This window comes from Homo sapiens, chromosome 15 (genome assembly GCF_000001405.40).
Source record: "Homo sapiens chromosome 15, GRCh38.p14 Primary Assembly".
In the NCBI taxonomy this organism is placed as follows: Eukaryota; Metazoa; Chordata; class Mammalia; order Primates; family Hominidae; genus Homo; species Homo sapiens.
The window spans coordinates 78446704-78468574 of NC_000015.10; the positions used below are offsets into that span (position 1 = coordinate 78446704).

The window sequence follows — 21871 nt, forward strand, 5'->3', positions numbered from 1 at the left end:
ATCTAATTGCCCCAGTGTCTCCTTTCTCACAAGACTTTTGGTCATCAGCCTACCAGGGGATTGGCTTTTGCGTCGCTGCTGTAGCCAAGGAGGCCACAGGCCACCGAGAACTGTAGCAGTTTGGACAGGCACCATGAAGGACATCTGTTGTATAGTGTTAGCAAAGAATGCCAGTTTACATGCTTACCAGTGAATGAGAAGAATATGTGTTTCTGCACCTTCATCAATAGTAGATATTATTTTTCTTGTTGGCTCAATTTCTGTCAGTGAATGAAGAGAAGAAAAAAAACTTTCTTCTACATTAAATTGGGGGGTTTATTGTGAAGATTTGAAGGAAATAAGGAAATTGAGGGGATCTGAGTGCGTGGTCAGATCAGACTCTTTGTTCCCTTCAGTAGGCATGCATAGAACCCATGATTCTGGCTTAGCTGATTTTCCCTATTTCTGCTTTCCTTTCTTTTTCTTTTCTTTCTTTCTTTTTTTTTTTTTTTGAGACAGGATCTCTCTTTGTTACTCAAGCTGGGGTACAGTGATGCAGTCATAGTTCACTGCATCTTCAACCTCCTGGACTCAGGCAATCCTCCCATCTCAGCCTCCCACTACAAGAAGACACCACTACACCTGGCTAATTTTTTTTTTTTTTTTGAGACGGACTCTTGCTCTGTCACCCAGGCTGGAATGCAGTGGCACCGTCTCGGCTCACTGCAACCTCCGCCTACCAGGTTCAAGCAATTCTCCTGCCTCAGCCTCCTGAGTAGCTGGGATTACAGGTGCGTGCCACCATACCTGGCTGATTTTTGTATTTTTAGTAGAGATGGCATTTCACCATGTTGGCTAGGCTGGTCTCAAACTCCTGACCTCAGATGATCCACCTGCCTCGGCCTCCCAAAGTGCTGGGAGTACAGGCGTGAGCCACCACTCCCGCTCTGATTTTTTTTTTATCTTTTATAGAGACGGGAGTCTCCTGAACTCCTGACCTCAAGCAGTCTTCCTGCCTTGGCCTCCCAGTGTGCTAGGATTACAGGCGTGAGCCACCATGCCCGGCCCATTATTCTGCTTTTCTTTTTCTCTTGGTTCTTTTTTGTTTCCATCTGTTTTCTGCCTTCTCCCTAAGTCAAGTTCAAGGTATCACAGAACGAGGCTGAGGCAGCCTATTGGACATGACATTTGTGCTTGGCGAACTCCCTGTGCCACTGGCCAGACTGTAAATTGGTTGTCTGTTGGAAGGCTGGCTCCAGGTCCCAGCTATTCATGCCAGGATGGCAAGGCTACACAGAGCCCACCAGCAATTGGTATAGAAGGAACTTTTTAGAAAGAGGGCTGTGGTATAGGCATTCTGAGGACGTGCCAGTACAGGTGAAAAAACAAAATCTTATGCAGGAATCTGTTTTGTTTTCTGCTTCCTCAGACTCTCTCAATGGCAATGTATGTATGTATGTATGTATATATTTATTTATTTGAGACAGAGTCTTGCTCTGTCATCCCAGCTGGAGTGCAGTGGCATGATCTCAGCTCACTGTGACCTCTGTCTCCTAAGTTGAAGTGATTCTCGTGCCTCAGCCACCCAAGTAGCTGGGATTACAGGTGCACGCCACCACGCCCGGCTGATTTCTATATTTTTAGTAGAGATGCGGTTTCACCATGTTGGCCAGGCTGGTCTCGAGCTCCTGGCCTCATGTGATCTCCCTGCCTCAGCTTCCCAAAGTGCTGGGATTACAGCCGTGAGCCATCACGCCGGGCCCAATGGCAATATATTTTAAAAGAGAGAAAAAAAAGGTCAGAATTTATTTATTTATTTGAAGAAATAAGGTCTTGTTCTGTGGAGGTCAGACTTTGTTTATTGGAAATCAGCCCTATCCCGCCTGGTTCTGGTTAGAGACAGAAACACTTACTTGACTCTAGTCAGACATAGGCATGGGTTAGTCCTGTTGCCAGGCCTGATGGGATTACAGGGCCTTCTAGAACAGCTTCCTTATCTTTTCTCCAGGCCCCTAGCCTTCAGCAGGGTTAGCTTTACCCTGTAGCTATGCTGGCTGGTTTCTGCTCTGGTGTCCTAGCCCCCTTTCCCAGTCTGGACTCCAAAGATGGAATCTCTTTGAGGGCTTTTGGCAGGCCTAGAGAACCTGTGGCTTCAGAGTCTTTCCCCCTTCCTTCAGGCTGATGGGTTTCTCTGTTACATGTAGTTATCTAAAGCCTGCTTACTAGAGTACTAATATTCCCTATGGGTAATTTCTTCACTACTGCTTGAACTTGGAATTTTCCATTTCTGCAAATATCAAAACCCTTTTACTTCAGTGTGCTGCTTCATGATAAGCACGGAAGATAGTTTTAAATCTGTTGTGTACAGATAATACAGATAAGGTTAAAAATCTGAGTAATTTGCCTAAGGTCACAACATATCTTCTAGGTGAGGAAACTTAGTCTTAAACTCATATCTTCTGATTTCAAGACCAACGCCTTTTCTTTCCAATACCATTCTGTTTCCCGGTTTAGTAATGTCAGTAATAAAAAAAATTTTTTTAAGTATTTGTTGAGTATGTATTTACCGTATCCAGTTCTATAAGCTCTGTTATACACTTGGCCAAGGTCCCACAACTAATTACCGTTACCTACTAAGTGGTGGAACAGAAGCATGAACAAAAATCTTGATTCCAAAACCTATGCTTGTAAAAACCTGTTACAGCAGGGGTTGCAAGCTCATGTTTATAGGGATCAGAGAGGCAACGTAAACAAGTGAAATGTTCTGCTGGGAATTGTGTGGCAAACAGGAAGGCACATGTCCTATATAGAGAGGTAGGTGCTTACTAAGTTCCAGCAGAAGTACAAGGTTGGTATTGTAAAGTTTTCTGATTGAAAGACCTGTAGTTTTTTAAATGTTGGCAGTTAAATTTAAAATGTTAAAACTCTGCAGAACAAGCAAAACATGTCTGCAAGCCAGCAGACATGAAACAGAGTTTGTGACCTCTGTACTGAGAGATACACTGTGTTTTCTAATCTTTGCAGCAGCTATTTAGCCTTGAATAGTAGAATCTGCAGTCTTGGGAGCCTTGGTTTGCCTTTCATCGGATGCTTCCCGTATACAAATAGCAGACCTCAGCATTTTTTTTTCAGAGCCGAACCACCTATTGGATCTTCCACTAAGTAACTGATCAAAAGGATATTTATTGTTATCAGCTTATTTTAGAAGTGTGATGACACGAATTACTATACTAAACCAGTTTAAATTACCATCATCCCAGTTCCTCCATGGCGTTTTTAATTACCTGTCCTTAAAGGGTTAGCTTTATGGATTCATAGAATTCTAGAAATTCCTGATTAGAAGAGGCAGACGTAATCCAGTGCATTTTTTTTACTTGTTGCATGAGTCTCTAAACAATATGATTTAATTTATTGAGCTAATATTTATTGAGTACTTGTATATTTCTAGCAAATGAAAGATGGCTAAGATAGCATCTGTGCTAAAGAAAAGACACGGTTTAGTAATGGGGACATACATGGAAAGTATATGTGAAGTACAGTACTATGTTGTAGCAATTTGGGTCCAGTCAGGAGATAGAAACCACATAATAGGTTAAACAGAGGAAGCTTAATATACATAATTATTAACTATGGTAAGAGTAATTGTAATACAGGATAATTGTATATAATACTGTAGGGCTAAGGGAGAATACCCAAGGAAGGACAAACTTGGAAGAGGTTCAGAACTCACTGGAATAGGTGTGGGTTGGCCCACAGATAACAGAGAAGTATATTGGTTTTGGCCAGGTTGGAGCTGGTCTGGAGTTGCTGGGTAGGCAGTAGGCCACCCTCTGGAGTGCAGGCAGGGATCTGATGATCAGGAACTAGTGGTGTGGGCATGCGTTGGGAAAACAGATGCTGGTAGGGGGCAAGAGCCCTTCAGAGCTCATGGGCCATGTCGGGGCTTGTAGAAGGAGTGACAGCTCAATATATGACCCTCGAGGCAGCTTACAGATGTAGTCCACGTGCTGTCAGAGCAGCAGGCCTTCTTTACGGGGGTGCCTCAGTCCAGGTACTGGCACAGGCAGGATGCCTTCAGAGTGTACAGCTATGTAGGAACTCCAGCTCCTAAGTTGAGAGGGCTGTGGTGATATTAACAAATTTGTGTGTGTGTGTGTGTGTGTGTGTGTGTGTGTGTGTGTGTGTGTGTGTATTTTAATATACAATGTAATGGTGTCCACCTTTGGAAGTTCTGCATAACTTGATGAACTCTTATTTCTCAAAGACCAATAATGTAATGAGCAGACTGTAGAAGCTTATTTCATTCAAATCTTGCTCTGTTGCCCAGGCTGGAGTGCAGTGGCTCAATCTCGGCTCACTGCAACCTCCATCTCTTAGGTTCAAGCGATTCTCCTGCCTCAACCTCCCGAGTAGCTGGGATTACAGGCGCCCACCACCACACCTGGCTAATTTTTTGTATTTTTAGTAGTGATGGGATTTCACCATGTTGGCCAGGCTGGTCTCGAACTCCTGACCTCAGATGATCCACCCACCTCGGCCTCCCAAAGTGCTGGGATTACAGGTGTGAGCCACCGTGCTCAGCCTTCATTCACTTTTGAGAAACTTTTTGCCAAATGTACACATTTGAATAACCATAGTTTGTCAGTTCCTTCAAGTGAAAAACTGTTCTTTAAAAAAAAAAAAAGCTTAATTTTAGCTTGCAGCTCAATCATACAAGAGTTTTTCTGCAAGCAACTGATGTACTTTGTTTTCGAGTAGAAATATTGTATAAATATATTTCATTTTTGTCACACAGAATATTAAGACTTGACCTCAGCAGTTGAGATTTAATAAAATTAACAGTTTTTCTGCTTCTTAGGGACATTTTTAAGTGAAACTGGTATTTTGTGTGACAGTAAACAATACGAGTACTACAGGTTGAGTATCCCTAATCTGAAAATCTGAAATCTGAAACTTTTTGAGCACTGACGCTCAAAGGAAATGCTCATTGGAGCACTCTGGATTTTTTTCTTTTTTCTTTTTTTAAGATGGAGTTTCACTCTAGTCTCCCAGGCTGGAGTGCAATGGCACAATCTTGGCTCACTGCAACCTCTGCCTCTAGTTCAAGCGATTCTCCTGCCTCAGCCTTCCTAGTAGCTGGAACTACAGGTGTGAGCCACTGCGTCCAACAGGGTTTCACCATGTTGGTCAGGCTGGTCTCAAACTCCTGACCTTAGGTGATCCACTCGCCTCAACCTCCCAAAGTGCTAGGATTACAGGAGTGAGCCACCACACCTGGTGGATTTTGGATTTTTGGATTAGGGATACTCAACCTGTAGTACAATTTGGTGCCACTGCTTTGAGTCCTGCTAAGGCATCAGCAGTTTAGGACCACATTTCGAAAATCACAGTATAGGGTTGGGGGACCACCTAGGGAACCTAAGTGAGAGATGATGTACTGGTGGTTGGGACTAGATTTAATGGTGATATTGATAGAAGACAAAAAGATGTAGGAGAGAGGCATTGAGGAAAATGCCTCGATGTTTTGGCATAAACATCTGGAAGGATGGTGGTGCTATTTACTGTGCTAGGGAATGGAAGATGAGGTGATGATAAGGGGAAGGGGCAGAGGGGAAATCACTGAGTTCAAGTTTAGGTACTAGTGAAGTTGGGAACATACCAGTATTAAAGTAAACATGTTCACCTCCTGAATCGGGCATGTGGTTTTGGAGCTTAGAAGACAGACTTGGACTACAGAAAATATTTTGGAATTATTAGTGTAGATGTAGTGATAATTGAAGCCATAGGAGCAGTTGTACTCCCTGGAGGAAGCAGTATAGAGTAAGAAAAAAAGTGAGTCTCAATATGAACTCTGAGGAACTCCTACATTTAGATATCAGATAAAGGAGTAGAGGTTAACAAGGAAGATAGGCCTACCTAGAAGTGTTAAGAACTATAAAGGAGGCTTGGCATGGTGACCCACACCTGTAATCTCAGCACTTTGGGAGGCTGAGGCGGGAGGATCTCTTGAGCCCAGGAGTTCGAGACCAGCCTGGGCAACATAGTGAGACCCCCATTTCAATTTTAAAAAAATGAAAAAGAACTATAAAGGATCTAAAATTTTACCTTCCTTGGAAGTTAACAAATTAGCCTGACGTAGTTTCATGTATGTTGGCAGGAGGCACCCAACTCCTGGATCAGAGACAATGGACAGTTTATTACTCACAGCAAAGCATTATCCTTATTAACAGTATTTATGTTGGTTTCCCAAGCTCTAGTTTCTATAGGGTAATGTTGAAGAAGGCCAGGTAACACCTGCACACACAGGTGTTGTGTTACTTACAGAAAAGGAACTGTGGCTTAGGAAACCCAAGTCTTTTATAATGGGTAGTAAGCATGCCTGCTCTTTGCTCCAGAGCAAGACGCTATCGTGTATTTGAAAACTATTCACTATATAGACATATCTGAAAAAATAGTCTGGAACAAAGGTAGTCATTACCTCTGTTCACAAGTCTTGAAGAAATGTGAGATGGGAGACATGGAAAATTGTCTTCCAACAATATGTTAGAAGGAAAACTGGAGGATGGTGCTGTGGAATCCAGTAGAAAGAGTGTTTCAAAAAGGAGGTAATTATTAGCTCTTTTGAATATTGCTACAAGGCTGTTGGGATTCTAGCTAGACCTGCTTCATTCGTGTTTAAGGACAGAAATAATATTGATTAGGGCTAAGGTGAGTGGAAGGTAGAAAAGTGGGCACTTTTAGAGAATTTGAAGGAAGCAGTACTTTTGTTGTCAACTGGGGCTAGGAGCTGTTTAAATGTTGATGGGAAGAAACCAGTTGAATTGCAAACCAGTTTGCAAAAAAAGGAGAGAGGAAATGATTGATGACTCTTGAGTCCTAAAATGGTTAATGGAAATAGGATGCAAAACTCCTATAGAGAAGTTATCATTTAGTAGGAGGAAGTCCGCAGCTCCCTTAACTGGTGAAAGGGTGAATCCAGAGGCAGCAAGGCTTGTGGGTATAGTAGGAGGAAGTTGAGAGGTAGGAACTGTTAGTTTCTATTTATCAGTGAGGTAGGAAACGGGGCTAGGTCCTCTAGAAGATAAATAGAGATTAAATTTTAAGGAGAGTGGATGAAGATAAGAATTAATTGATGTGGAGTGTGGGAAAATAAGCAGATCAGAGAAACATTAGGATTTCGAATAGTGAGGACCTGATTGAGGTTATAATCATGTGTTTACATTAGTGCCAGTTTCTCTGCGTTGATGTTTTAGGAATTTTTTCCTCATTCTTCCTCCTCAACATAAAACTTAAAACCACAACAAATTACCATTCATACCTGTTAGAATGGGTACTGTATAAAAGACAGACAGTGACAAATGTTGGGGAGGATATGGAGAAATGGGAAACCTCATACACTGCTAGTGGGAATGTAAAATAGTGCAGCCACTTTGGGAAACAATTTGGCAGTTTGTTAAAAAGTTAAACATAAATTTACCACGTAGCCCAGCAATATCATTCCTAAGTATCTATCCAAGAAAAATGAAAACATTTATTACACAAAGATTTTCAAATGATCTTAGCAGCATTATTCATAGCCGAAAATTGAAACCAACTTAAATGTCCTGCAGTGGGTGAATGAATAGGCAAAACTTTGGTATACAATGGAATACTATTTGGCAGTAAAAAGAAATTGACTACAGATACTTGCTACAATGTGGATGAACTGTAAAAAGCAGGCTTAGTGAAAAAAATACAGGCATAAGAAACTTTATTTTATGATTTCATTCATATGAAATGCCCAGGAAAGGCATAGAGTAGATTGGTGGTTTCTTGGGTTAGAGAGGAGGGGGAGAGGGATTAACAGTAAATAGGCATGAGAGATCTGTTGGGATGATGAAAATGTTCTAAAACTGATTTATGATGTTGATTGTACAACTTGGTAAACTTACGTTACAAAAATCGCTAAATCATACACTTGGAAAGGATGAATTATAAGATATATACAATATGCCTTAATAAACTTAGGACTTGTTTTATTATTTATTTAGAGACAGGGTCTTACTCTGTCGCCCAGGCTGGAGTGCAGTGGCATGATCACGGCTCACTGCAGCCTTGACCTCCTGGGCTCAAGGGAGCCTCCCGCTTCAGCCTCGTTAGTAGTTAGGATCACAGGTGCACACCACTGTGCCTGATGAATTTTTTATTTTCTTGTAGAGATGATCTTGTTATGTTGCCCAGGTTGTCCGAATTCCTAGGGTCAAGTGATCCTCTTACCTTGGCCTCTCAAAGTGCTGGGATTACAGGCATGAGCCACTGTGCCCAGCCAGTAAAGTTAGTTTTAAAAAAGAGAGAATAGTTCTTAAGCAGGGAGGTGATGTGGAGTGGACCAGCTGCGGGGACGGGGTGAAAAAAGAACAGGATTGGTGTTTTCTTGGGCAAATGGGGTAAAAGAACAAAGAGGAAATAAATGTAGGGTTTGGGGAAGTGAGAGATTGAACCACATTGACCCTAACTGCCTAAGTAAGGAAAGCGTGGATAGGCTGGTGCCAACGAGTAAGGAGAAAGTCCCCACAGTATTGAAGAACAGATGTGGTAAGAGTGGGGATCAGAGAGGTTCTGAAGTTTAGGAAGCTTGCAAGATGGTATAGTTGGAGCACAAGAGCGTATGTAGAGGTGAGATGGGGAGAGTAGGGAGGAAGAAAGGAAATAAATGGGCCTTCCTGAACTTTATACCTGTTTGAAAGTGGGGACGTAGAATTAATATTGTTGAAAAAGCAAACCAAGGCTGGACATAGTGTCTCCTGCCTTTAATCCCAGCACTTTGGAAGGCCAAGGCTGGAGGATTGCTCGAGGCCAGAAGTTGGGAGACCATCCTGGGCAACATAGGAAAATCCCATCTCTATTGAAAAAAAAAAGAAAAAAAGAAAAAAACCAGAGCATATGTCCATTTTTCACATCTGCTAATTTACTCTCTATTGTTGTAACTCTTCTACTGGAATATCTACCTGTAGGTTTAATTTAAGGGTTAAATGGAATAATTTATATAAAGCACCTCTGCATCTGCCCCTTAGTCCTAAATAAACAACTGCAGATGATATTGTTGGAAAAGTTGAGGAAGAAAAGATATTTGTTATCTATTACTGCATAACAAACCAAAAGCAACAGTAAAGATTTATGACAGTCACAGTTTCTGTAGGTCAGGAATTTGCAGTGGCTTAGTCGATAGTCCTGGCCCAAGGCCTCACTCACATGGCTGACAGGCTGGCGCTCCCTGATGATGGAGAGGCTTCAGTTCTTTTCCATAAGGGCCTCTCCTCAGTGCTGCTCAATAGTCTCATAATAGGCTGCTGGCTTTTCACCGAGTAATCTAAGAGAGGAAGGTTGAAGCCAAAAGACTTTTATAGCCTAGCTTTGGAAGGCTCACACTGTCATCTCTGCCATACTCTAAATAGAGTCAGACAAGCAGAACTGATTTCAATACAGATTATATGAGAGCATGACTATCAGAAGGCAAGTATTATTGGTATCATCTTGGAGATTGGCTACCACAGGGAGAAATAAGAAATTTTGTTTTTGTTTTGAGAGACAGTGGTATTTTTATTCATTTGCATCTTCCCTGGCAGTAGGTCTCTAGTCATTACTTTTACAAATTTAGACAAATTTGAGATAGTTGGTGCTTCTTCATGACAAAATGTTGAGTTAACATTTGTGGGACCAGGTGTGGTGGCTGGCTTATGCCTGTAATCCCAGTACTTTGGGAGGCCAAGGTGGGAGGATTGCTTGAGCCCAGGAGTTCGAGAACTCCCTGGGCAACATGGCGAAACCCTATTGCTACAAAAAAAAATTACGAGAATCAGCTGGGCATAGTGGTATACGCCTGTAGCTCAGCTACTCTGGAGGCTGAGGTGGGAGGATTGCCCGAGCCCAGGAGGTCAAGGGTGTAGTGAGCCATGATCGTGCCACTGCACTCTAGCTTGGGTGACAGAGCAAGTCCTTATCTCAAAAAAAAAAAAAAATACATTTGTGATTAGTGTTTTCTCGTAGCACTCTTATTTGATAATTGCTTTTTAATTTTTAAATAAGAATTTTTTAATACCCTACTTGTTAAATTATAACTAAAACAGTAGCCTTTTGCCCTGTCCCCAATTTCTACTCCCCAGAGAATACTATTTTCAATTCTCTTGACTGTTTCTTCAGGTAATTTCCTCCATGTTGTTAAATTGCCCTTCTTATACTACTCTTTCTTGATTTTCCGATTTTAGACTTTAGTAGTTTTATACTGTGAAAATGGTAATTTGGCACTTCTTCTGTATATTTATGCAACTCATAATTTTTGGTGGAATCAATGTTGAGCATTTATGTTATGACTATAAATGTTCTTAGCCAATCCTTGTAGTAATGATGATTGTATCTCATCTCTCATATAACTTTGTATTTTTCCTGGGATTAATGGATTGCCTTTTTTTGTTTGCTTAGTACTCTATGTCCTTATGAATAAATCATCTCTGAACTCTCCAAAAGAACTAAATTCCTCCTCCTGGTATAATCATGTAATCTATTGGTTATTTTTTTTTCTTCTGTTGATGACATGCTATCTGGACTTCATCTTCTGGTCCATCTGGGACTGACTGCATTGTAGCTTGCACAGCCGTTGTTGTAGAAGAGTCTGCTCTCTCTTTGTTTTGGAGACTCTCCAAGATTTAGTGGTTTTCTGTTTTTTGTTTACTCTCTGATTTTATAGAGCATGTCCTCTACTAGATTCCTAAGAAAGGATGCCTGAGAAATACATTTTTGAGACCTTGCTTGATTAATTGATAGTTTTCCTGTGTGTAAATTTCTTGGTTGGAAATTATTTTCATTTGGAATTTTGAAGGCATTTTTCCATTGTCTGCTAGCTTTTAACACTCCTCATAAGAAATCTCAGGCAATCCTGATTTCCTAAACTTTGTTTCTGCTTGCCTTTCCCCCATGTAGACATTTTAAGTTTCAGCTGTCTCTCCTCTGTTCTGCTCAGTCCATTACCAGTCATCCATCTAGTAATACTTTGTTTTTCAAAATTTTTTTGGCTTTGCCTCACCCTGTCACTTTTTTTCTAGTGGGTTTATAACTTTTATAAACAAAAAATATTCCTGAGATTGTTTTTCCATAATAATTATCTAAATAAAAGGTTAATCTTGTATATAATTTCTGTGATAATATTTTCCTTCTCATTATCTCCAAATGTTCTATTAAAAAATTTTTCCCCTGTAATTCCCCTTGGTTTGGGGAATTTTTATGTTTCTGATTGAAGTAAGGATGGAAACTAATATTGGTTAAGTGCCAACTATTTATTGTAATTTGAGAGCTTTACATGTACCAACTAGATAGACGAGGTAAGGAAGATATTCTTCACATCTCTGTTAGGTAGCTGACAGTCCCATTTTAGTGAGAAAATGTATCAACTTAGTCACTTTCCAAAGGCCATACCTGTAGTAAATACAGGCTTTGAATCTAGTATTTCTGATAACTGTAATCCTTTTTCTACTTTACGTACAACTTTATGGGTCTTTGTGTGTGAAAAATTTCAAACATGAAAGTAGGGAAATACACAACACTAAGAGTGAACCCTAATGTAAACTGTGGGGTTGGGGTGATTGTGATATGCTGATACAGGTTCATCAATTGTAATAAATATACAGCTCTGGTGGGGAATGTTGATAGTGTGGGAGGCTACGTACTTGTGGGAGTAGGGAGTATATGGGAAATCTCTATACCTTCCTCTCAGTTTTGCTGTGAACCTACAACTTCTCTAAAAAAATTAAGCCTCTCATTATGTTGGCCAGGCTAGTCTCAAACTCCTCACCTCAAATGATCCTCCAGCCTCACCTCCCAAAGTGCTAGGATTACAAGCATGAGCCACCGTTCCCAGCTGGTCATCATGCTTTCTCAGAGGTGCCTTCACCACTCACCCCATCTAAGGGTGTTATTTTCTGTCCTGAACCCTACTCACCTCCCTCATAGCACCTGCCACTGTTTCTAAATATTTATTTGTTTACTTGTTTATGGTCTGAATCTCCTAGTAGGCGCCAGCTTCATAAGAGCAGATACCACGTCTCATTTGTTCACCTAGTGCTGGAACATACTAGAAAAGTCAATAAATATATTCGTTTTGTTGTTGTTTTTTGAGACAGGGTCTCACTCCCATTTCCCGGGCTGGAGTGCAGTGGCAAGATCAGCCTTGACTTCCCAGCCTCAGGTGGTTCTCCCATCTCAGCCTCCCAAGGAGCTGGAGCCACACTCTCACACCAGGATACCTGGCTAGTTTTTTGTATTTTTAGTAGAGATGGGGTTTCCACCATGTTGCCCAGGCTAGTCTTGATCTCCTGGACTCAAGCAGTCCCCCCTCCCAAAGTGCGGGGATTACAGGTATGTGCCACCATACCTGGCCAATAAGTATATTCTTAACGGGAAAAAAAAGTAGCGTGAGAATACTTTTGTAACCCACCATGTAATTGTCAGCCATTTATCAGCATTTTGCCAATCTTTTGTTTCATATATTTTACCATATTTTAACCTGTAAATATTCTTCCATATGCATAGCTGTTATATAAAAGGACTTTTAAAAAATCACAGTGCCATTGTTATACCTAACAAAATTAAGTAATCCCTTAATATAATTGGGTTTTTTGTTTGTTTGTTTTGGTTTTTTTGTTTTTTGTTTTTTGAGACAGAGTCTCGCTCTGTTGCCCAGGCTGGAGTGCAGTGGCAAGGTCTCCGCTCGGTGTAGAATCTGCCTCCTGGGTTCAAGCAATTCTTGAGCCTCAGCCTCCTGAATAGCTTGGATTACAGGTGCATGCCACCATGCCAGGCTAATTTTTGTATTTTTAGTAGAGACGGGGTTTCGCCATGTTGGTCAGGCTGGTCTGTAACTCTTGACCTCGAGTGATCCACCCACGTCGGCCTCCCAAAATTTTGCGATTACAGGCGGTGAGCCACCGTGCCTGGCCACTTAATAAAATCTAAAACTGAGTTCGTATTCAGATTTTTCTGGTTATCTCAAAAATACATTTTTACATTTGGTTTGTTGAAACAGTATCCAAATAGGGCCAACACAGTATTTGGTTGTTACGTCTTTTAAGTTTCTTGTAATCTGTAATAGTCTTCCTCTCCTCTTTTTTCGTGCCATTTTTATGTTGAAAAACCTAGGTTCTTTATCCTGTAGAATGTCCCACATTCTAGATTTGGCTGATAGCTTCTTTGGGGTTTCATTTTACTTTCCTACTAACCCCCATGTTTTCAGTTAACTGGAAGTTAGAGCTAGAGGTTTAATTAGATTCAGGTTTATTTTTGCAAGATAGTAAGTGTTCTTATTTTTGCGAGAACACTTCCTAGTTGGAACATGTAGTTTTTTGTTTCATCAGGAGGCAAATAATATCTCTAATATCTTACTTTTGGTGATGCTAAGTGGGTATGAGTGTTACCAGCTTGTAAGCGCGCCATCCACATAAATCCTAATGATTTTAGCACCCATTTGTGACCATTATCTAGATCCATTATTTCATTAGGTGTTGCACATTGGTGATCTTTCAGATTACATCGTTTCTTCCACATTTACTAGCTGTAATTCTTCTATAACAAAGTACTTTTGTCTATTTGGTTACCTGAAAGGAGGAAAGATAATATTAACTATTGATTTTCCCCCTTTATTTGTCAGTTTTCAGAGTAATGAGTTGATGCCCTAGCAACTCTCATTGGTGATCAATGAAAGGTTTTTTAAGAGTCATTATGAACTAAGGGCTACTTATATATTTGATGTATTTTGGTGAATTATAGTTATTACTCATTTTGATGCTCAGATTGACCCGTTAGTGTCCCCATTAGTCTTTGATAACTTCTTTGGTTTCGGACACAAGATATCCAGGCTCATTTTGTACAAATCCTTCTCCAGATTAGAATCAGTCATTTCTCTGAAAAACTGTTCTGTTGTGTGTGTTTAGGAAATAGTTTTTAGAAACAACAAACAGTTGTTAAGGGTTTGTTACTGTTGGGTTGTTATTCTAGGCATTTTCAGTGACAGAGCTAGAAAATACCTAATTTTTAGGAAGAGAAAAATAAATCATGAGTTCGTATCCATGTTTATAATTGAAATGTAAGGACTTAACTTGGCTACTGTGATTTTTTTTTCCAGATTTTAAAAATAAGCTTCATTTTAAAAAAAATTAACGTGCGCTATTGGAAACTGAAAAACACAAGAAATGAGGAACAGAGTCATCCACAATCATAAGCAGTTTGACATGCCCTTCTAGGTCTTGTGTGTGTATATACATAACATCCATTTTTATGTGATTGAGATCATACAGTATGTATCATGCTTTTTCACATATCATGAACATTTATTAGTTCAGAACCCCAAAGCTACCTTCTGCCGTTCAGCTGCCAACCTATTGAATGAGTCCTGATACACCCTACCTAGGTGGTTTAACAGTTCCATGTTCAAGATGCGTCTTTTCCATCAATTATACCAAGATATTTACAAATTGGCTAACTCACTATCTCTGCTTTTTATCATACATTGTCACCTCAGGACATCTATAAAGCTTAGATGTTGCAAAATAAAGATTGAACTTTGTTCACAGTAAACAGATGAGTTACCAAAAATGCACATAGAGACCTATGGTTAAAATCTAAAACCTGTCCTCTGGATATGGAGACACTAGTAAAGAGCCTTACCCTTCACCCCTTTTCCCTCTTCTATCATTTCAGTGACTAAGTACATTACTGCATCTAGCTCTTAGAAGTAGGTTAACAAATACCACTCCCAGAAGACAGGCCTTCCTAAAAAAAAGGATGTTTAAAAACGGATTATTTTACTGCCTCTACTTTTAACATACTTTGAGCCTTAGGAGTTGTTTATCCTTTACACACAACAGTATTAACTAAATTACATATATAGAACAATGGTTAGACAATCTGAACTAATGTAACTCACAGGCACAGAAGTCTTCTCTCTGCATACTTCCTCCTCCTCGCCCCCCTCCACCTCACCCAGTGAGCAGGAAATGCAAACGCTCCTGTGAAATAACAAAAAAATACTTAGTGTTACTTTAGCTCTCATTAGCTACTCTGATTTTATACTTCTGTGCTCTTGAAACCATAGTAACAAAAAGTACTTTTTTGCTTGCTGCTTGTTACACCAGTCACAATCTCTGAATAGCAGCACTAATGACTGAATATAGTTTTCTTTCTTTGTGATACCTTTTTGTACCAAAAAGGTACTCCCAATAAGGAAGTACAGTGGAAATACCGTGTGAGATATATGCTTAGTTTTTTTGTTTATCCTTTCGTTGTTTCTTTTTGTTAAAATATGCATGCTAATATATTTTTAAAATTATATTTCTCATAATACACATTTGATGATCTTATGTTTATTTTAAAATAATATATTATGGATATGTTTTTAAACTCTCTTTCTTACAGGAAAGTTAGCATACTATAAACACTGTTCTGCCCTGCTTTTTCTCTTAATGATATATATTCTGGAGCTCACTGTTTATCAGCATGTAACTCTTCACTCCTTTAAACAGCTGCATGGTAATCCATTGTGTGGATTACAGTGATTTATTCAACTAACCCCATATTAATTCAGTCTTCTCTTTAAATCCTAAGGAAACACTTTTGTGTGGCACAATCTGGTGTGAGAATTTAATATGATTGAAAATTTTAAAATATTGAAATCACTTTCTCAATTGTGTCCTTGAAGTAATTAAGAGTGAATCAAAGTTTTCGTGAAATGAATTTTACTCACTCAGGCATTCCAATTTACTTTTAAACTTTAATCATTTTTGATGGAAAATTTTAAATTTATTACAGACATTTATACAGTTTAATCATTTTCTTTTTGCCATACCAGGGGATGTCTGCATTATTGAATTGAATTCTGATATTCTGTGCTTTTTTTTAGTTTTTCTGTGAATTCCTTGAATATGAAGTATTTGTCATAGTTGCAGTATGATATTCCTAAATTAATGCAGCTCTTGTATGAAGGTTTTTATCTCTGCTTTTTTCAAGGCTTTGAGGTTATGTACAGGAAAGTCAGTTACAAAACACCTGATGTTAACACGAATGGTGTTACACTCTAGTTTGTCAGACTAAAAATGAATTGTTTAAATTGAGAAAACAGTGCATTTTTGTCTTTGTCTAACTTTTTGCTATGGCATTTTAAAAATAATATATAGGTATGACTGTTTGCTTATTAATAGTAATATTTTCTTGAATCAGATGTTCTGCCTTACTCAATACGGGTCTTGTTGGAAGCTGCTGTACGAAATTGTGATGGCTTTTTAATGAAGAAGGAAGATGTTATGAACATTTTAGACTGGAAAACCAAACAAAGCAATGTTGAAGTGCCCTTTTTCCCTGCCCGTGTTCTTCTTCAAGATTTTACGTGAGTAATGGGTTTATTTTTTGTGAATGAACTCTTAGAGTGTGTTTCCTTTTTAAAATACAGACTCTTGGGTAGGTGTGGTTGTTCATACCTCTAATCCCAGTACTTTGGGAGGCCAAGGCAGGAAGATCACTTGAGCCTGGGAGTTTGCAGTCAGTCTGGGCAACATAGTGAGACGCTGTCTGTACAAAAAAATTTTTTTAATTAGCCGAATGTAATGGTGCATGCCTGTAGTCCCAGCTACTCTGGAGGCTGAGGTGGGAGGATTACTTAAGCCCAGGAGGTTGAGGCTGCAGTGAGCTGTGATCACACCACTGCACTCCAGCCTGGGTGACAATGCAAGACCCTGTCTCTAAAAATAAAAAATAAAATAAAAAATCAGACTTCCTAATGGATGGCTCTGTGTTTTTTTGTTTTGTTTTGTTTTTGTTTGTTTTTTTAAGGTTAGTTTATAAACTTAAAAATTTTGCCCTTTCTAAACTGAAGCAATTCATTAAAAATTAGGCACTGTTTTGTACCATTTATTCAAAAACTGCTTTTGTTTAACTACCTTCTTATGATCTCTCAATAGGTTTCTCAAACTTAACATATTGAAAACTTGATTTTATTTTGAGGTAGTCTCACTCTGTCACCTAGGCGAGAGTGCAGTAATGCAGTCATAGTTCACTGCAGCCTCAACCTCCTGGGCTCAAGCGATCCTCCTGCCTCTGCCTCCCAAAGCTCTGGGATTATAGGCATGAGCCACCGTACCCAGCCATCAAAACTTGAGTTTTTGATTGTCTATCTCAACTCACCTATTTCTTTCTAAGTCTTTTCTGTTATAGTAAATGGCACCATACACTCCCATTTGTTTAGGCTTCAAATCTAGGAGTTAGCCTTGATTTTTCTCTTTCTTTAATACCCTCTAACCCAGTCTATCAGCAAGCTCTGTCAGTGCTACCTTTTAAATATATCTTGTGTCCAATTATTTCTTTCCATCTCTATCACTGTCATTGTGGTTCTAGTCCCATTCTCTCTTAACCTGGACTATAACTGCAATAGTCTCTTAACTGGTATCCTTGCTGTCACACTTGCAATCAATAGTCTGTTCTTTACACAGTAGATGGAGTGACTTGGTTACAAATGTTAAGTCGTATTATCCCTCCATATACCAGTTGGCTTCCATCACACTTAAAATCCAGAGCCTTTACCATACTCTGAAAGATTTTGCCTGATCTAGGTGTCCAAGGATTATTTATTGGAAGAGTTAACCTTGAGCTGAGTTTTGAAAGAGGCGTAGAGGTTAGCTGGAACATCCTCTTCACCCACCCACTCAAATCTGGTTTGTGTGCCACAGCTCTTTGTACCCTATGTATGCTGCTATTATGGTACTTACGATACATAGCCGCATAAGAAATAAATGATATTTCTTACACCATTTATTCAGAAACTGCTTTTCTTAACTACCTGCTTATGATTTCCACATAACCAATAGGTTTCTCAAACTTAACATGTTGAAAACTTGATCTTATTTTGAGATACAGTCACACTCTGTCACCTAGGCTGGAGTGTAGTGATGTGATCATAGTTCACTGCAGCATCGACCTCCTGGGCTCAAGCTGTTATTGTATGCAGCTATTATAGTACTTACGATACTATTCTTTAATCATTATCTTCCCTAAAATTTTTTTGAGAGCCAGAACTATGTCTTATTTGGCCTTGTACCATTGGTGTCTAGCACACTGAAGGCATTTGATAAATGCTTGTTGTATAGTTGGCTGGATAGATGGGTGGATGAATGTAAAATGGCAAAAGCTACTGTGGATAGCTTTGGGGCAACACGAAGGCACTAGGGGGAAGGGGCTGGAACTAGGGAAAGGGGAAGGTGCATCAAAAAAATACATGGCAAGAGTTTCACAGGCATTTTCCCTGAAGTTCGCTTATGCCTCAAAAATTATCTCTTATTATTTTTGGCATATTTGCCCAAGTACTTCAGTTCTCAGATAATGTTTAATGTTAATTCTTATTAAACAGGATACTCCTAACTTATAAAGTACATTATGAAAAATGAATGTAAACTAGACAGGGATACTTTTTAAAATATGAAAATGAAAAAGTTTATCATTTATTAAGCATGTATAAAAAACAATTTGGACTATAATTTGACCATTCTTTATTTTTTAGTGGAATACCAGCAATGGTGGATTTTGCTGCTATGAGGGAGGCAGTGAAAACTCTTGGAGGTGATCCTGAGAAAGTCCATCCTGCTTGTCCGACAGATCTTACAGTTGACCATTCTTTACAAATTGACTTCAGTAAATGGTACTTCAATGCAGATATTTATAGACAGCCATGCAAGTTAATTGGCTGGAAATGTGTCATGTAGAGGAAAAGGAATAGAGATAATTTATGGCAGAGAAAAGTATGCTAAATTTAGTATTGGCTAGTATATAAAAGCTAAAACTGGTGAAAAGTTTATGGAGTGGTGGGGTTTTTTTCATGTTCTTGTATTTCTGCTGCCGTTTTTGATAGAAATGAATAAGCCTAGGACCTGCTTTTTGGAGTGAACCTCTGTATTCAGTCTTTGTTTCCTTTTTTGTTTTTTAACCTACTTGTCTTTCAGAAAGAATCGAAAGATGTGAGTCATGAATGTTTTTAATTATTTGGTGATTAAAAACATTGAACTCACTAAAGCTCTATTTTCCTTCCTCTGAAATAAGTTTCTTGTATTTATAAGGCCCCTTTGACCAAGACCAAACTAGAGAAGACATATTTCTGTTGCCATAAAGTAACTTTTTAAAAACGTTCCCTGGAGTAGTAGAATAAGACTGCAATTTATTATAGCCCATGAGAGAGGTTTTGCCCTCGAGATAAACTGTAGCTCTAAATTTCTTTTAAGTTGTTAGGGGGAAAAAATCTATTTCAGTACTTGCTAAAAGTTATTTAAATTAGTAGAGTATTTGAAAGTGATTTTACTGGACGCTTAGAATTCTGTTTTCATTTCTGTAAATTTAAATGACCTGTTTCTTTTTTTATATATATATAATCTGAGATTTGCCTTTGAAACCTGAGTTAAATGATACATTAGCCTTTAAACATCATTCAGTTACTTCCAGATAGCGTTGCTAATGTGCGTTTTTTTTTAAGAGCTAAATTTGTGTCCCTTTTAAATGGCTTTATTTTGTTTTCTTTTTGGAATGACAGTGCAATACAGAATGCACCAAATCCTGGAGGTGGTGACCTGCAGAAAGCAGGAAAGCTCTCTCCACTTAAAGTGCAGCCTAAGAAGCTTCCCTGCAGAGGCCAGACTACCTGCCGAGGATCTTGTGATTCTGGAGAACTAGGCCGAAACTCAGGAACATTTTCTTCGCAGATTGAGAATACACCCATCCTGTGTCCTTTTCATTTGCAACCAGTGCCTGAGTATGAGATTGTTTTTCTTAAAGTTTATTAATACCAGGTTATTTTCCAGTTAAGAAAATCAAATTTATTCTCTTCCCACCCAATTACTATTATGTTACCTTCACACTTAAGTACTGAATTGAATTTTTATATGTATTTCCTGTTATACTAAAAGAAGTAAATTTAGTGAAAATGGTGATCTCTAAGTACCATTCTCTCTTACCATTACTAAGAAAGCAAACTTTTCTTAAGATTTATCTGTAAATAGAATTCATCTTTTTGACGACTGTAAGCAGAAAAATGGGATCTCATTTTAAACTAAAATTTTTATTTTAGTATATTTGTACCATTCATATACTCGTTAGTCATTCATATTTCTTATGTTAATTCCCTGTATATATTTTTAACATTTTTTTCCTACTAGGGGGTTTCTTATCTTTTCCTATTGCATTAAGAGCTCTATGTTGGCTGGGCGTAGTGGCTCATGACTGTAATCCTAGCACTTTGGGAGGCCAGAGCAGGTGGATCACTTGAGCTCAGGAGTTTGAGACCAGCCTGGGCAGCACTGGTGAAACCCTGTGTCTACAAAAAATTACCCGGGTGTGGTGTCGCGCCCCTGTGGTCCCAGCTAGTCAGGAGGCTGAGGCAGGAGAATCTCTTGAACCCAGGAGGGGAGGTTGCAGTGAGCCAAGATCATGCCACTGCACTCCAGCCTGGGTGTGACGGAGTGAGACTGTCGCAAAAAAAAAAAAAAAAAGAGCCGTATGTTAACGATAAAATTTTTGTTTTTTATGTTTCAAATCTAGTAAGTCCTTCTAAATAAGTGATTTCCTATATGGTAACATGGAAAGTAGTAAACATGCCTAGAAAAGAATTCTATTCCTAGGATTTGGCTAGATTTCCTAATGTGTAATTTTTTTAAATAAGAAAAAGAGTTCTATGGCCAGGCGCGGTGGCGCATGCCTGGAATTCCAGCACTTTGGGAGGCCGGGGCAGGCAGATCACCTGAGGTCAGGAGTTCGAGGCCAGCCTGGCAAACATGGCGAAACCCCATCTCTACTAAAAATACAAAATTAGCCAGGCATGGTGGCAGGAACCTGTAATCCCAGATACTTGGGTGGCTGAGGCATGAGAATCGCTTGTACCAGGAGGCAGGGATCACAGTGAGCCGAGATCACGCCACTGCACTCCAGCCTGGGTGACAGAGCAAGACTCTGTCTCAGAAAAAAAAAAAGTCATACAGCTTTTTAAAATATGTACTATAAAGTTTCCAAACTTTTAAAATTTATTTATTTATTTTTAGAGACAAGGTCTCACTATGTTGCCCATGCTGGTCTCAAACTCTTAGGCTCAAGCGATCTGTCTGCCTTGACCTTCAAAAGTTGGTTTTTTTTGTTTTGTTTTGTTTTGAGACAGAGTCTCACTCTATTGCCTGGGCTGAAGTGCAGTGTCATAAGCATGGCTCACTGCAGTCTCGATCTCTTGGACTCAGGTGATCCTCCCACCTCAGCTTCCCAAGTAGCTGGAACTTCAGGCATGCACCACCATGCCTGGCTGATTTTTTCTGTATACAGGGGGTGTCACTGTGTTGCCCAGACTGGTCTCGAACTCCTGGCCTCAAGTGATGCTTCCACCTTGGCTGCCCAAAGTGCTGGGATTATAAGCATGAGCTACTGTGCCCAGCCATATTTTTATTTTTAAGAGAGTTATGTGAATTGTTTTTGTCTTAGTTTAAATAATTCATGTAAAATATAACAATTTATCCCATTGTTAGTAAACTGTCTTTTTTTTTGAGATGGAGGGTCTCTCTGTCACCCAGGCTGAGGTGCCGTGGCACCATCTGTAGCCCACTGCAGCCTCCAACTCCTAGGCTTAAATGATCCTCCTGCCTCAGCCTCCAGAGTAGCTGGGACTACAGGCACACACTGTCAGGCCTGACTTATTTTATCTACCTTTTTTTGGGGTAGAGATGGGCACTATGCTGTCCAGGCTGGTCTTGAACTGGGCTCATGCAGTCATCCCACCTTGGCCTCGCAAAGTGCTGGGACTGCAGGCATGTGGCACTCCACCTGGCTTTTTTTTTTTTTAATTTAGTAAAAAATTACT

At 39.5% G+C, this 21871-nt stretch overlaps 1 protein-coding gene across 5 annotated transcripts in view, besides 2 other annotated features; it reads left to right on the forward strand.

Annotated features, from left to right (window-relative positions):
- IREB2 (iron responsive element binding protein 2) overlaps positions 1-21871 on the forward strand; it is a 64023-nt gene that overhangs the window by 9273 nt on the left and 32879 nt on the right. For all 5 annotated transcript variants that reach the window (NM_001354994.2, NM_004136.4, NM_001320941.2 and 2 more), the window contains exons 3-5: positions 16219-16384; positions 18548-18685; positions 19568-19786. In NM_001354994.2, the coding sequence (NP_001341923.2) occupies positions 16284-16384; positions 18548-18685; positions 19568-19786 (458 nt within the window). In that variant the 5' untranslated portion in view covers positions 16219-16283. The remainder of the gene's footprint in view (positions 1-16218; positions 16385-18547; positions 18686-19567; positions 19787-21871) is intronic.
- Positions 20135-20635: an enhancer, noted in NCBI's record as "H3K4me1 hESC enhancer chr15:78759180-78759680 (GRCh37/hg19 assembly coordinates)". NCBI's record gives its function as "activates a minimal SCP1, AML or CMV promoter by ChIP-STARR-seq in primed H9 embryonic stem cells {active_cell/tissue: H9 hESC(primed)}" and the evidence as "EXISTENCE:reporter gene assay evidence [ECO:0000049][PMID:30033119]".
- Positions 20636-21136: an enhancer, noted in NCBI's record as "H3K4me1 hESC enhancer chr15:78759681-78760181 (GRCh37/hg19 assembly coordinates)". NCBI's record gives its function as "activates a minimal SCP1, AML or CMV promoter by ChIP-STARR-seq in primed H9 embryonic stem cells {active_cell/tissue: H9 hESC(primed)}" and the evidence as "EXISTENCE:reporter gene assay evidence [ECO:0000049][PMID:30033119]".